Consider the following 15,111-nt stretch of genomic DNA (forward strand, 5'->3'; position numbering starts at 1 on the left):
CAAACTTGGAAAAAATCCTAATATTAGAAGTTATCTTTAAATAGGATCTTTATTCAGAAGCAAATGTAGGAAACTGATCAAAGGGAGCAAGCTGCTTTTGTTGAAGCAGGCAGCAGAGGCTAAATGGTGTTGCTCACAAGACTAGGGGCTTGGGGAAGGATCAGAGGGGCTCAAGAAGTAGGGAAAGGGTGAATTCTGGTAGGCCATGGCTGCCAGGTGAAGTTGGAACTGAAATCTGCAGCATTAGGTTTCAGCAATGAAAGGAACAGCTGGGAAAAACAGCCTGGTCTGGTTAGTTGTGGGCCTGCTGCATTTGGAGAAAGAAACAAGCCAAGCTAGGAAAGCACAGTACAGAACTGGGTGCAGGGGGAGGTGGGAAGTCAGGAATGATCACTGTCCTCTCTCTGTCTCGGTTTCCTCCTCTGAAGTCCTTTGTCATTTGAATGCTCTTTGATTCTCTCTCTCCATTATTCCAGTGTTCCCCTTTGGTTGGCGGGGCGGGGGGTGCATCAATGGATGATGAGCAGGGTCAGCAGAGGCCTCCTGTGTTCTGAGGGGGCTCTAAGGGACTCAGGGCCATTCCACTGAGTGATTTGATGACCTGAGAAGCCTGCCCATTGTCCAGGCCTTAAAGGGCCACTGCCCCTTACCATTAACCCACCTCAGGACAAAGGCCATCACCAGCTCAGACAAATAAGCTGCTTAGCCAGACCTCATGCATCATCTTGTCATCCACACAGGGCCCAATAGAGGCATCTGAACAGAGCAGAGAGCCGGAGTGCAACTCAGCGGTTTCCATTCAGGGGCCTCTGGCCAGGGGTCATAAACTGCTCCCAAAATGTGCATGCAGCTTGATCCTCTGTGCAGCAGGGTAGGGTATAGTGCAGGGCGGGGGGAGAATAAATCCCTGATCTGCTTTAGAGGTTCCCTTAGACCCTATGGCTGCCTGAGGGTTGTCAAGAAAGGGAGAGATGGCTGTTAGATAAGGGAGGCAGTCTGGTGGGAGTGAGAAAAGATTGTGAAGAGCCAGGCACACCTGGGATGCAAAAATGCCACTTACTATCTCTGTGACCTTGGGCAAGTTATTGTATCTTTCTTAGGCTCTGTTGAGTAAAACACTAACCAGAAAAATGACAACAATGATAGAAATTTCCATTTATTAAGACTGTACGATAACTGGGCACTTTGCTAAGTACTTCACATATATTATTTCACATTGAATTCTAATACCACCAATGATGTAGGTATTATTAATATTATCCCTGTTTTACACATAAGGGAAAAATGAAAACTCCGAGGTTAAAAGCATTTGCTAAAGATCACAGCTAATAATGACAGAGCCAACATTCAAACCCACACTCTTAGCTCTTCTGCTCTAGAGCCTCCCAGCTGAGCAGACTCAATGGAATGAGAAAGGCGAAGCCCCTGGCACACTGTAGGTGCTCAGGAATGGGATTTGCTCATCTGTTCTGCTGTCCAAAGGTGTGATCAGGCCCTCTTTGATTCCAGCACACCTGCCTGCAGGTTATGTTGCTTGTCTCCTCCCACATCAAACCCCGGGAAAATGCAGCGTGCTCAAGGGCTGCTCCCTGAGAGCTGGAAGGGGATGGATGGAGAGTGGGCTGTAAAGCTGGCCTTTGCCATGGCAGCCCTTCCTTCCTAGAAAGGAAGAGAGCCTTGCCTTGTCCCCCTGTCTGCGCAGAGGACTGCAGTGCTTCCTTCATGTGTGCCCAATGCACATGGCTGCCCATGGTGGGCACAGATGAGGTCTGACCAGAGTTCACTCTCCAGCACAGGACCCCACACAGAGCACACACCAGGAAGAGTCTGCTAAATGAATGGACAGATGAATGAATGAATGGAGGAAATAAACACTTCCAGACCCCACAATTAGGTTGGGAGCATTTGGTTACACACAAATAACAGACATGCAAAGTCTGTATGTCTAGGCTCATCCTTATACCAGAGCTCTGGTCTTAGTCGGCTTAGGCTGCTGTACCAAAATTCCATAGACTAGGTTGCTTAAATAATAGAAATTTATTTTCCCATAGTTCTGAAGGCTGGGAAGTCCAAGATCAAGGTTCTGATGGGATTCGGTTTCTGGTGAGGGCTCTCTTCGTGGCTTGTAGATGGTCACTTTCTTGCTGTGTCTCACATGGAGGAGAGAGAGCTCTTTGGGGTCTCTTCCTCTTTTATAAGGACACTGGTTCTATCTGATCAGGGCTCTACCCTTATGACCTTATTTAATCTTAATCACCTCCTTAAAGGCCTTATCTCTGATGCCATCACATAGAGAGTTAGAGCTTCAACACATGAATTTGAGGGTGGTGAATGTTGATGGTGAACACAATTCAGTCCATAGGAGCCCTATAGATACATAAAAGTAAAGTTCACTTCCAGATAAGCCTGAATGTGCAAACTTGCCTGTGTTCCTCAGTAGTTAGCACCTTTCTCTAGGAAGTTCCCCCAACCTCCCAGTTTGCATTACACCTCTGTAGCCCCACACACCCTGGCACACTCCGTCACCAGTTCCCCTTACTAGTGGCTGCTTCAGGGCAAACTGTTTAGTGTGTTTCTGTCTCCCCAACAGGGGTGAGCTGACTGCTTTCTATCCTCCATGGACCCTGGCACACAGTAGGTCCTTAACAAAAAATTTGCTGAGTTGAATTGGTTCTGAGGGTCAACAAGCCTCATTTTTCCTCCATATCACTCGAAATCAGAAAGACCTTCCCTATTTTCACTCTGATTAGTGAGGCTTTGGTCTTTTCTGCCGACATCACCAGACACTGACCAGAGGCTGTGTTGAATCTGCATGAAAGTAATAAACTCGAGGAAGGATAGGGCTCTGGGAAGAAGGGCTGGGGCTGCCCTGCTAAGGATCAGGACCCGAGCTGCCAGCAGCGGGAAACCCAGGGAGGGCACTAGCAGGGGCTCTTTGAGAGGTAACAGCTGGAACAACGTGAGGGATGGATTAAAGGGAGAGACAGGGGCAGGGAGGCCAGAAGGATGCTACTGAAGCGGTCCAGGAGAAAGGAGACATAGTAGGAATGTTTTGGCTAAGAGGAGCAGCATTTTGTAAAACTAGCAAATAGACAGGGATCATCTCCACTTCCATTTTTGCTCCTTCTCAGGATAATAGCAGACCGGTGATCACAACTTTAGTTTTGATGAGATAACCTCCTTATCTCCTAAAAATGGTCTCTATTATTTTCCAAGAGAAGACCAGTAAACACTAAACACCTGCCTTGATCTCAGTGTCTTAGATGTTTTCCTGTTTCTCCTTTATCCTAGCAAACTCCCCAGGTTGCTATTCTTATTCCCATTTTATAGATGGGCAACTGGGTAAGAGAGGTAAGCTTGGTGAGGTCACTGAGATAGTGGGGAAAGGAGCTTGGTTCACATCAGGTATGCATTCCCCCAAGGTTCCACTGGGGCATCTGAAGAAGGGTTTCTGGAAGTGCAAATATAGGTACTGTTGTTGTTAGCTGGTTAGCAGCTTCCCAGAGTTATTTATAGAAATAGGATCCACCAGGAAAGAGGGAGTGGAGCATAAATGAATTACCAGTCATTTTCCTTTCCTTTCAACTCTGGGGGAAGGCCAGCTGACCAGAAGGAAAAAGCATCACAGCGTTTCATCTGGTACCAAACATCAGCACTCCATCGCTGGAACTATGGGGACTGGAAACAGCATACGGGCTCCAGCAAGAGCATCTGAAGCTTTGTCTCTGAGACTACATGCTATGTTTGTTTAGCTGGTGCCTTGGGCTTACTGTCCCACCCGAAATCTCTGGAAATCACCCAGGAGGGGGAGGGGGATTAAAGATCATGACTCCCAGGCTGAGCTGTTAATTGCTGGGGCTCTTCCAAGCCAGGAGGGGTAAGAGTGTAGGAATCTGCTTGCCTCCCAGGAGTATCTGGCCAAAAACTTTTGGGGTCCAGAAAGGGAATAAGGAAACTGACATTCACTGGGCATCTATTATATAGCAATCACTGTGAGAGAAGCCTTATCCATATTTTCTCATTTATACCACAATTTTGTGAAGTACAACTGCCCCTCCAAATCCATGGACTCAACCAATGGTTGACTGAATATCAAAAATAGTCAGAAAAAAAAGTATAAAATTTAAAAATACAATATAACAACTATTTACATAGCATTCACATTGTTAAGTATTATAAGTAATATAGAGATGATTAAATTATACAAGAGGATGTCTGTAAGTTATATGCAAATACTATGCCATTTTATATCAGGGCTTGAGCATCTAGATTTTAGTATCCCTGGAGGTTGCTGTTGCGGGGAGGGTCCTGGAACCAATCCCCTGTGGATCAAGAGAGAAGACTGTACTATTCTCCATTTTACAGACGAGACTGAGGCCCAGAGAGGTGAAGCAAATTGCCCAAGACTACACAGCACAGACCTGTAAACCTCCACAACCTATTTTTCCCTGCCATTGCTCCACATTGTGCCATTTCTGTTTTTCTTCTGGCTTCAGTCCTTTTAGGCCTTATAAAGCAGAGGGAATTTTTTTTAGTTGTTTAATCTCAAACACCTATATAAATAATGGCAGTTCAGAAGGAGAGGAAGGGAAGGGAGAAAAGGAAGCCACAAAGTTTCCTGGTTTAAACTGGGAGCCATTAACCAGTAATGGGGGATCCAGCTGAGCTCAAAGCACCCAGCTCAGACATGATGACAGGGGCAGAGGGCAGGGGGCTGCCTGGGGAAGGGTGGGAACAGATGGCTCCCAAAGACCACGTTTAGGAAATGGAAGAAGGATGGGCCTGAGAGCAGCGAGAGATGTTTATTCTCAAGGTGAGCAGGCTGTGTGGGGGCAGCATTAAAATCCTACAGAGTACTGGAAAAAGCCACAGAGCTGTGTACCCAAGGGATGTGATTTCAGGTGATTACAGTGAGAACAAACATTAAATAACACCGAGTCACATGCAGAATAGCTTCTATTTTCTTTCAACCCTTTGGATGATGTCAAAGAGGAAGTCTAAGTTGGGAACTAGTGTGTTTTCACCACCTATCAGTTGCCAATGTCCTTGTTTAATGCAGAGAGGCAAATCTCTCCTCACTGTCCTTGAGCAGACATTCTGTCACCAGAATGGGATAACCTGCTTTCATAGTATTTATTTTTACAGTTACCTTCTATTTATGGCAAGTCATACACTTGCCATATGGCAAGTGGAATGCAGCAGTAATATACAATTTCCTTTTGAAATAAAAAAATTCACTAAAGGAGAAAAAGTTTGGAAAAGGCAGCAGTTTAAAGGAACATAAATAACCATTTAGGTGGGCACACCGCTGTGGCACAGACTAAGACAGTGACACAGAAATGAATATGGTTTGGGAAATGCTGGTTTCATCCAGTTCTCTCACTGCTCAGACTAGAAAGCCGAAGAACCAACAGATGAGCCTTTTGCAAGGTGACACAGCAGGCTAGAGGCAGAACTGGGATCAAAGCAGATCTCCTGCTTCCAGGCCTGTGCCTCTCTGTAAGCAGGTTTTCATGATGAGGCTTCTCCAGATGAAGTTTGTAACTGGGAAACTGAGCTCACATGATAGCAGCGGGCCTCACATGATGGCAGTGAGCCTCACATGTTGGACTGACCATCCATGAACAAAGCCCAAACTAGTTCCAAGCCTTGTGGCCAAGGGGCAGCTCTGTGCTAAGCTGCATCTCCCTGAGCCTGTTTCTCACATGGACACAGTGTTCACCCTCCTTCACATTTCTCCAATCTCACAGGACTTTTCTGTGGATCCAGTGAGATGACAGAGGAGAACGAGCTTCGGGAATGAGAGGGTACACAAATGTTAGTTCTACTAATCTCCCACACTCTCCTTGGCCTCCTTCCAGGTGCCTCTTCAACGGTCTGGGCCCTAAAGTGTCAGGAGATGGTTTAAAATGTGGTCTGGTGTCCACAAGGGATCCATGGAGCAGACCATGACCATTTCAACAGGGTCACAAACTAGGCTTAGTTTCCAGATGGAGAAAGCCTGGACACATAGCTAATGTGCCTTCCTCGGGGAGTGGTGTAGGAATTCCTAGGTCCAATCAAGCCATACATGGAAAAGTGTTATTTTTGTACCTTTTAATGCAGTGGTATTTGGGGAAATTAGTGGAAAAGGAACTGCAAAGAGTCTACAATGAGTGACTAATTAGAGGGCCCTGGTTCTCCCAGGATGTTCAGTTACATTAATTCAAAACGTGACCTGTTTATTTTGCAAGGTCAGGAAGAAGCCTTACCTCCTAGAAAGCCAATGTGGCAATTAAATTAGAGTCACCAGAGTTTCCCAGAGGTAATGTATGAAAAAGGGCTTTGTCAACAGTATAAAAACAGAAGTGACCCCTGTGAGGTTGTCACCACTGCCCTCAATGCGGGGCCATAATGGTCTGCCCCAGGTGGAAGGCCATAGGTGAGAGCTTGTCTAATTAAGGGAGGCACCTGGTAGAGTGGAAAGAACACTGGAGTCTGGGGCCATGCTTTGCATCTTGACTCTGTACCTAGACAAATCGCTTCATCTCTGTGACTCTCCACAGCTGTATCATGTATGTGCCTCAGTGCCCCGTTCCTAGGGTTATTGCTGTGCATGTGTGTGGACGGGGTGCTGGTGGAAAGAAGGAAGAAAGGAAATCAGCACTTTTTTTTTCAATTTTGATTTTAGCACATACACATACACAGGGCACTGTGCTCAGCCCTGGAGATAGTGTACACAAGGCCTACCTCTAGGAACTGGGAGTTGCACGAGGGAACCAGAAATGTGAATAACTAGGTCCCAGACTGTTAGGGAGGAGTGAGTACAGAAGACAGTGGGGCATCAAAGAAAGGGGGCCCGACAGCAGACAGTCTATCAGGAAATGCTCCTTATCAACTCAGAGTTGCCAAGTTCTAGGCTTCTGACCACTTGGCTTCTTTCCTGCTGAATTTCCAGGCCTGACAGCCACCCAGCCTGCTGGTGTTGGCCTCCTGAACTCTCATTTCTATAGCAGAGCGGCTAGGCCTTTCTAAGCAGTGATTATGGATAAACAATAAGCACATCTATGGAGCTTCCTGGTCAGCAACTTGTACCTGTATCATGCTGTCTAGTTTTCAAGTTATCTAGTTATCTCTACAACCATGAGTAAGTTGCTAAGTCTTTCTGAGCTCCGCTTCCCTCATTTTTAAGAAGACACAATTCAGGATCACCATCTATTAGCCATCATTCTGAAACCCCAAAACTCTGAGACTAAATGTTTAACCAAAACTCATTTAGAGGCAAAACCTGACCTGAACTGACATGAGGCTTGGAGTCATTTTAAAATCCCATGAGTATAAGTATTCATGTTTCACGGCAGAAATAGTGATGTGTTTGATTACTGCAGGAGTGTTAGGAGAAATACAAAATATGCACTCCATTTTCTTTTTTAAATCTGAACATTTCCAAATTCTAAAGTGCTTCTGATTCCAAGGGTTTCATTTAAGGAATTTTAACCCAATAAATTAAATACCAATTTTAAAGGGTCTCTCTGTTTAGAATACCCTTCATCCCTCATCTCTCTGGAAAACATCCACAAACATTTAAAATGTCATCATGAATGAATGAATAAAGGAAGAAATCAATTTGTCTTGCCAACAGGAGTTAGGTACTTAACTTTGCTACATAGCTGGTGTAGTAAGAATTTATTTACCAACGAGGGTCTTTTGCTGCAAGAGAGTTGAGAGAAGTGGTGAACAACATTGCTGAAAACTTTACCTACCCCAGTGTTCTACACCCTCAGAACTAGGTAAAGAAGCACATCCAAGTAACTGCAGTTGGCATGAAACAACAACAACAACAACAACAAAATCCCAGGCTCCACGAAATTCATAGTGAAAGAAGACAAAAATCTCACTGGACCTTCCTTTCAACTGTTAGAAACAGGCACAATTTTGCTTTCTGATTTCATAAACTGACTTAAAAGGACCTTGGTTGACACCCCCAGGGACTCTGAATAGGTTCTCAATTAAGTTGAATTTTTTGTTTTAAGAAAACACTTTTAGAAGGAGCTTACAAACATGGCAGTGTTTCCCATTTAGAAAGAAAAATAAACACTCCTCCACTGGATTGGTAGTCAAAACAAAATAATCCCAGCTGCTTAAGACCTGAGAAAGTCAATGAAACTGCCAAACAACAGTGATGCTGACCAGTGAGAAATTTGTAAGGCAAGGCAGTAAGGACCCAGTGCTGAAAAAAGAAAAGACCCATGGACGGCCCAGCATCCAAAGTTTGGCTCTGAGGAAGCTGCACCAAAGTTTAGTGCCCGGTCATCTGGTCTGATTCATCTCATATAACAGGGGCTTCGTAAAGGTTTGTGAGGTAAAAGGAATCCAACAACTTGGAATTCTCTTAAAACCAGCTTTTCTTTGGTGGAATTCCTCTTATCTTCTTCAAACTCCTACTAAGGAGAAGACAAAAGTAACAGGATCTGATATTTGAAACAAAACAAAAAAAACAACAGAAGGAAAAAAAAATGGGGCTCTAGAGTCAAACAGGCTTGGGCCTGAATCTTTTCCATGCCCTTATGACCAATGACTAATGGGCAAGTCACTGCCCCTTATTGAGCTTCAGTTTCCTAAACAGTGAAAGGGACATAAATTGAGACACAAATACGATAATGCATGTTTTATAGAAAGACTTCGAGCACATAGAAAGTCCTTATTAAATGTCAATTCTCCCACCCACCCACTACCTTACCTAGGCTTTGAGAAACTGACACATCTCTCAGAGCTATTTATTCCCCGACCCTCTTAAATATTAACCACCAAGTTTTTAAAGCCCCTTTGCTTTAGAATTTAGATGAGAACAATTCACGAAACATTTAATATTTATTCTGAAAAGTTTCTATGGGGTAGGGACGAATACCTACTTAATCCTAACCACTTCCTTTGCTTTTTCAACTGTGACTAGTTGATATTTTAGTGAAATCTTTCTTTATATATATCAGTGATTTCTGGATGATTACCCTTGGGGAAGGATTAGGATTTTGATAAGAGAAAAAGCTACTTCCCCTGTTTTCTTCTCCACAGGGACAATGAGCTGTTCTGTGATACCCCACGGTCCTCTTTGCACTTTACATGGGGATTTTAGCAGGGCAGCTCTGAGGCCTACCAGATCTGGGATGGCAGCTCAGGCTGGAGTTGACACAGCTGTGGGCAGAGGGCCTCTGGGGTGATGCTGGAGAGTCCAGCGCAAGCTCCCGGGAAGGCTGGCTCCAACAGCCTCAGCTCCCACCATAGGAAACTGTCTCATTTTCACCCTTTAGGAGCCAAAGAGGCATTCTTTGTAATTTAAAATATAATCTGAATGCAGTCCCAGCTGGCCCTAAAGCAACTGCTCTGTTGAGGGTGGTCTCCAAGGTCTCAAATTGGTGGAAGGAGATGGGGGTGTGGAGATAGGGAAGAGAGATAGAAAAGTTTTATCAGCTTCAACTTTTTTAAATACCACAACAACCTTGGAAGGTTTTCTCCCATTTCACAGATGGAGCAACCAATGCTTTCAGAGGTTGGAAACATTGCCTAGAGTTGCACATCTGGGATCCAATTTCAGGCTTGTCTCTAGAGCAATGGCTATAGCTCTCTGCTACACTGTGGTCCTTAAGCATTGCTTGCTCATTGGTTCATTCACTCACTCATTCAATGAGCACTAAATTAAAAGTCTCTGAAAAACCATGCACCAAACTGTTAAACGTAGTTATATCTCGGAGGAAGGATTATAAGAGAACTTAACATTTTACCTTTCCATATTATTTGAATGTTAACAAGCATTGCTACTTTTATAATTGGCAGAAACAATAAAGATAATTCCATTAAAATAATTTCACATTTTTTCCATGAAAAAAATCAAATTAAAAACCATAAAAGCATTTATTAGGCCTGCTACATCTACGTACCAGGGCCCTCTAATCTTCACTCACTAGTGCTGAGTCCACACCAGTACCAGCATGTCCTTTGGCTCATAGAAGATCCCTGGTTTTGGGTTTCAGGAGAGAGGAAGGCAGTAGGCAGGGTCCAGATGGCAGAGACTCATTGAGCTCTCTCATGATCCCAACCCCAGAGGAACAGACCAGTAAGGACCCAGACTCTTCCTTCAGGCATGAGACATGCTTATTACCAACTTTTAGAGTGACATTCAGAGCAAGGGCCTGGGGAAGGGATCCAAAGTGACAAGGTCCCCTGGGGTGCAGGAGCATGGAGGAGCAGCAATGAGCAGACAGCTGCAGGCTAAAGTCCCCCATCTCCTTCCCTGCACATCAATAATGCAATAATGTCATCAATTTGCCTTAGAACTCGCAACAAAGTGATTGCTCTTGTTCACTAATTTGCAAAGGAAGAGATTAAGGACTTTAATCTCTTGCCTTCTCTTCTACGTGTAAGGCTTACTCAGAAATGAACAAAGAACATCATTACACATATACACACACACACATATATATATATTTCCCCCCTACCCCATAAGCTTAAGAAGGCTACTGGCAGGAATAACTTGTGACACTCCTAAAATCAGGGTACCTTAGAAATTGCTCCATCACTGGCAAAATGGGGAAACTGAGGCTTAGAAAGACAGTGATTTGCCAAGGATAAATAGCCAGTGAGCCACAAAGCTGGGTCTGGAACCAGGTCTCCTTGCTCCCAGCCCAGGGTTCCTGTGTTTCTGTGCATCATTTGAAACACAGGCAGCTAAAAGGCATAGAGGAGTAGGGACATTGAACCACCAAGAAAACAAGCCCACCCCAGGGAGCACTGAGAAAAAAGGAGGAGGTTTGGGTCTTGGTCATGGAGAATGCAGGGTGTAAAATCCTGTCAGAAGAGAATCATCAAGGACAAAGATCTCTCTGATTTCCAAAGACAGTGGAAGCGGGGAGGTCCTAGCTAGAAAAGGAGGGTAGGTAATGACCGCCCTTCATTGTCATTTGGTGGGGGAACTCAAGCCAGTTCTCAGAAGAGCTCAGGTGACTTTCACCACATGGCCTTCCATACCCTTCCAAGGTTCACACCTATTTACAGCCCAGGCTCTCAGGTTTAAAAGAGCTGGGGCAGGCTTCCCTTGTCCCCACCTCAAGTTCTTTGTCCATGTGTTCCCTCTGCCCAGAACACCCTTGGTAATCTCTGTCTGGCACACCTCACTAATTTCTTCAAGTCCTGTAAGTGCCTCCTTTAGGAGGCATTTCCTAATTCTCTTAGGCAGAGTAGAGGCTTCTTCCTCAGTCACAGAACATACTAGGTTCCTACCGCCTTTGCCACCTTCGGCTATAATGATGTACTCCCAAGAGAAAAGATGGCATCTGACATTTCTTGGAGCATCCCCAAGTGCCAAGCAGTGTGCTGGGAGCTTTCACAGACAGGCTGTCTGTAAATCCCCTAGAGGCAGGTGGAGGGGACCAGGCAATGACTAACAGTTACCACACTCCTTCTGTGTTCCAGGCACTGTGATGGGTGCTCATCATGAGGTGGGCACTACAATGGCCACTTGACCCTTGAAGAAATAAGCCTGGAGAGGCAATGTGACTTATCTAATGTCCCACAGCAATAAAGCTTGTATGTAATTCAAAGCTGTTTGGTTCCAGAGCCCATAGACTGTCTTATCCCTCTTTGAACCTCTGCCTCCTTTTTCAGAATCTGGCCTGGAATTTAGTACCACACAAGCACTTATAAATAAATGTTTGCCAAATCAACACAAAACCTACAGTGTTATTTGTGGGGAAACAGTTTCATTTCCTCTCTTCTCCAAACATCAGGAAATCCTGGGGCTATTAAGGTGATCCTAGGTTACCTCATGTACATCCTGCCCCACCTCTTAGAGGTTTGAATTCCTTCCTGGGTTTCCTTGCAAAGAAGCTGACTGGCCTCTGCTGGACAGAGAGGGCAAGCACCTTGGCTCAAGTCTAACAGCACCTGATCAGGGGATACAAGCTGGTCACCCTGGAGCTCTTCTGCCATACCCCACCTCCCACCTTAAGAACACCAGGACAGAGCTCAGAATAAGAGAGCTTGCAGATCCATGCTTAAACCCAGTGGCTCTCTCTGCAGCCGGCATTTAGCCCTGCAGCTGGCTGGGGCTTCAGGGCCGCCTGTCTCCAGGCTCTGTGAAACTGGAGAACTTTTAAAGCCAGCGCTGTTTTATGGGTAATGGGGTAATCCTTCTCAGTTTTTCCAGTGAAAATGGGGACACTAAAATACTGAGTCTCTGGGCATGGTTGTGACAGTGCCTGGCACAGTCCCTGGCACAGAGTAGGTAGTTGGTTGGTGTTGCCTATGTCTTAACCTTTTTTTTTTTTTTCTGTCTGTGTCAATCTTTGTCTCTACCTTTACCTGTCTGGGCCTTCACCTGATGTTTCCTTCTCGTGATGTCTGTCTGTGCATCTTTGTCGGTACATCTGCCTGTCCGATGTCTCTCATGGGGGTTGGGGACAGAAGCAGCCCTCCAACTCTTGCACACTCCAGCGGCGCCGCGGGGCAAGAGCGGGGCTGCCTGAGCCCGCGGAGCCACGTCAGGCCCCCAGCTCCCCCGGATCCCACCACGCACCAGGCCCCTCCGCCCGGCAAGTGGCCCAAGCAGGCATCCGCAACGGAAGGACAATTTTAAAAACAAACCCTCAAAAGTAGGAAGAGAGAGGGACTTACCGTTCGCCGCGACCCCCAGGCTGGCGGAGCCACTTTTAACTAAGAATGAATTAGGGACAAACTCTTCCTCAGAGTCTGAGTCCGGGGTTGGCTGGGCCACACCGTTGCCTAGCAACCGCCTCTGGCTCTCATTGGCCGGAGGGGAGGGGGGCGGGGAGGGGGACTGCTCAATAGGGGTTGATGAAGCAGGATGAACAATGCAAGGGAGCACCTGCGAACCACAAAGACAAACACAGACAGAAAAAATAATGAAAATTGATTTTGAGGCACACGGGGAGGGGGAGGGAGCAAAATAAAACACTCATCAACGGGAAGGGGGGGCTCCCAACACGGGGCGATCTACTGCACACGTGGGCCGGGGGCGGGGCTGATGCCTCCACAGAGAAAGTTGCTGCAAACTCCTTCTGAAGAGCTGGGGCCTCAGTGCAGGCTGGCAAAGAGGGAATCTCGGAAGCACACGGAAAGCCTTTTCTGTTCTGCCTGTTCTTTAAGACATACCTGAAAACCCGGGGTCTAGTCCTGACGGGGCTAGGTGATCTATCAAACAGCTGCCCCTCTCTGGCCTCAGTGGCCTCGCTGATAAAAGCAGCAGTGGGGACTGGGTGATCCCTGAGCCCCTATAAGCTGGCCATTCTGTGATGTCACCGAACTGATATGATGTTCCTATTACTGAGATTTTATTCCGACCTGCCTGGAACAGGCCCTAGGCCTCGTAAAAAGGTAGAGAGAGCTGGAGAGAATGATTCAAGGCTTCACCTTTGGCAGTCTAGGATTTCAACACAGCAATGTTTCATTTTTCTAAGAATCTCACATTTTATGATTCTTAAATTCTGACATTCTCTGGAACCTGCCTAAAAGCAAGACCCTTAGGAAATTTTGTTCATGTCTTTATATTCAGAATCTAACATAATGCCTGGCACATAGTAGGCATTGTAGAAGTATTTGTTGACTAGCTTAATTCTAGGGGGTCTCACATACTAGGATTCTTAAGTTCTGATGTTCAAAGATTAGAACATGCTATAATTTTAGGACACTCACATTCTGTGAGTTCCAAGATGTTGTAAATCAGTCAGTCTGACCCCAAGTTTCTATCATGCCACGGTTCTAAAACCCCAGCTTTCTATAGTTCTATGAGCAAACTCCCAACTCTTCAGAAGGAGGAGGCGATGGCTTGGGACAAGAACTTTGAGCTCAGACAATTTGCAGTCTTATCTGTGGCTGACCTTTCAACATGTGCAGTACATCGTCTATAAGAGAGCTAACATAAGCACAGACATATAAAAGTATACAGTACAAGACAATGCAACCACTTACAGCAAGGGCTGCTCATTTTCTCCCACCTTGAGTGACAGAAGGTTTATAACATAGTCATATCCATCCAGCTTTTCAAACAGACTGAACCTTAGGAAAAATAATGCAGACCCAGTGGGCCATCTTAAGGTTCAGCGGGGCTCTAAGGGGGAGGTGGCACAGAGAGCGGCTGATTATTTGCAGGGTAGGGTGGGAAGCTTTTTGTGGTCTGTCCACACAAGAGCAGCCCACTTGGTTCACAGTCACCAATTCCTATAGGATTTGGCAGGTTCCATGACTTTTTTTTTTTTTTTTTTGAGACAGAGTCTCACTCTGTCACCCAGGCTGGAGTGCAGTGGCACAATCTTGGCTCACTGCAACCTCTGCCTCCCAGGTCCAAGTGATTCTCCTGCCTCAGCCTCACAAGTAGCTGGGATTACAGGTGCCTGCCACCTGCCTATTTTTTTTTTCTTTTTTTGTATTTTTAGTTGAGATGGGGTTTCACTATGTTGGCCAGGCTGGTCTCGAACTCCTGACCTTGTGATCCACCCACCTCAGCCTCCCAAAGTGCTAGGATTACAGGTGTGAGCCACCACACCCAGACTTTTTTTTTTTTTTTTTTTTTCCCCTAGATGGAGTCTTGCTCTGTCGCCAGGCTGGAGTGCAGTGGTGTGATCTTGGCTCACTGCGTCGTCTGCCTTCCAGGTTCAAGCAATTCTCCTGCCTCAGCCTCCTGAGTAGCTGGGACTATAGGTGTGCACTACCACACCCAGCTAATTTTTGTATTTTTAGTAGAGACAGGGTTTCACCATGTTGGCCAGGATGGTCTCAATCTCTTGACCTCGTGATCTGCCTGCCTCGACCTCCCAAAGTGCTGGGATTACAGGTGTGAGCCACCGTGCCTGGCCCCAGGTTCCATGACTCTTAAGGTTAACCCCTGAGCTTAACTTTATGTGACAACATTTTACAGAGTTGATGTGTGTGCCACTTGGCTGGTTGATATTAGAAATTCAGCAAGAAGAATTGAAGCAGCAGAAATAAATGACCAAGGTACAACCTCTGGGTGGCTTCTTCCTCTGTGTTTTGGTTTCTTTACCTAAAAATTCAGGCTATGATTCACCGTACAATCTTTTAAGCCAGCATTCCCGATTCACCTTGAGAGCCTGCCTTCCCTGA

At 45.8% G+C, this 15,111-nt stretch overlaps 1 protein-coding gene across 9 annotated transcripts in view; it reads right to left on the minus strand.

The window, feature by feature from the left end:
* TENM4 (teneurin transmembrane protein 4) overlaps positions 1-15,111 on the minus strand; it is a 788,202-nt gene that overhangs the window by 296,669 nt on the left and 476,422 nt on the right. For 4 of the 9 annotated variants that reach the window (XM_047426742.1, XM_047426741.1, XM_047426740.1 and 1 more), the window contains exon 2: positions 12,646-12,856. The exons of the other annotated variants lie outside the window; for them this stretch is intronic. In XM_047426742.1, coding sequence (XP_047282698.1) covers positions 12,646-12,856 — 211 coding nt within the window. The remainder of the gene's footprint in view (positions 1-12,645; positions 12,857-15,111) is intronic. 9 annotated transcript variants of the gene reach the window in all.

The sequence above is a fragment of the Homo sapiens genome, chromosome 11, assembly GCF_000001405.40.
Source record: "Homo sapiens chromosome 11, GRCh38.p14 Primary Assembly".
In the NCBI taxonomy this organism is placed as follows: domain Eukaryota; kingdom Metazoa; phylum Chordata; class Mammalia; order Primates; family Hominidae; genus Homo; species Homo sapiens.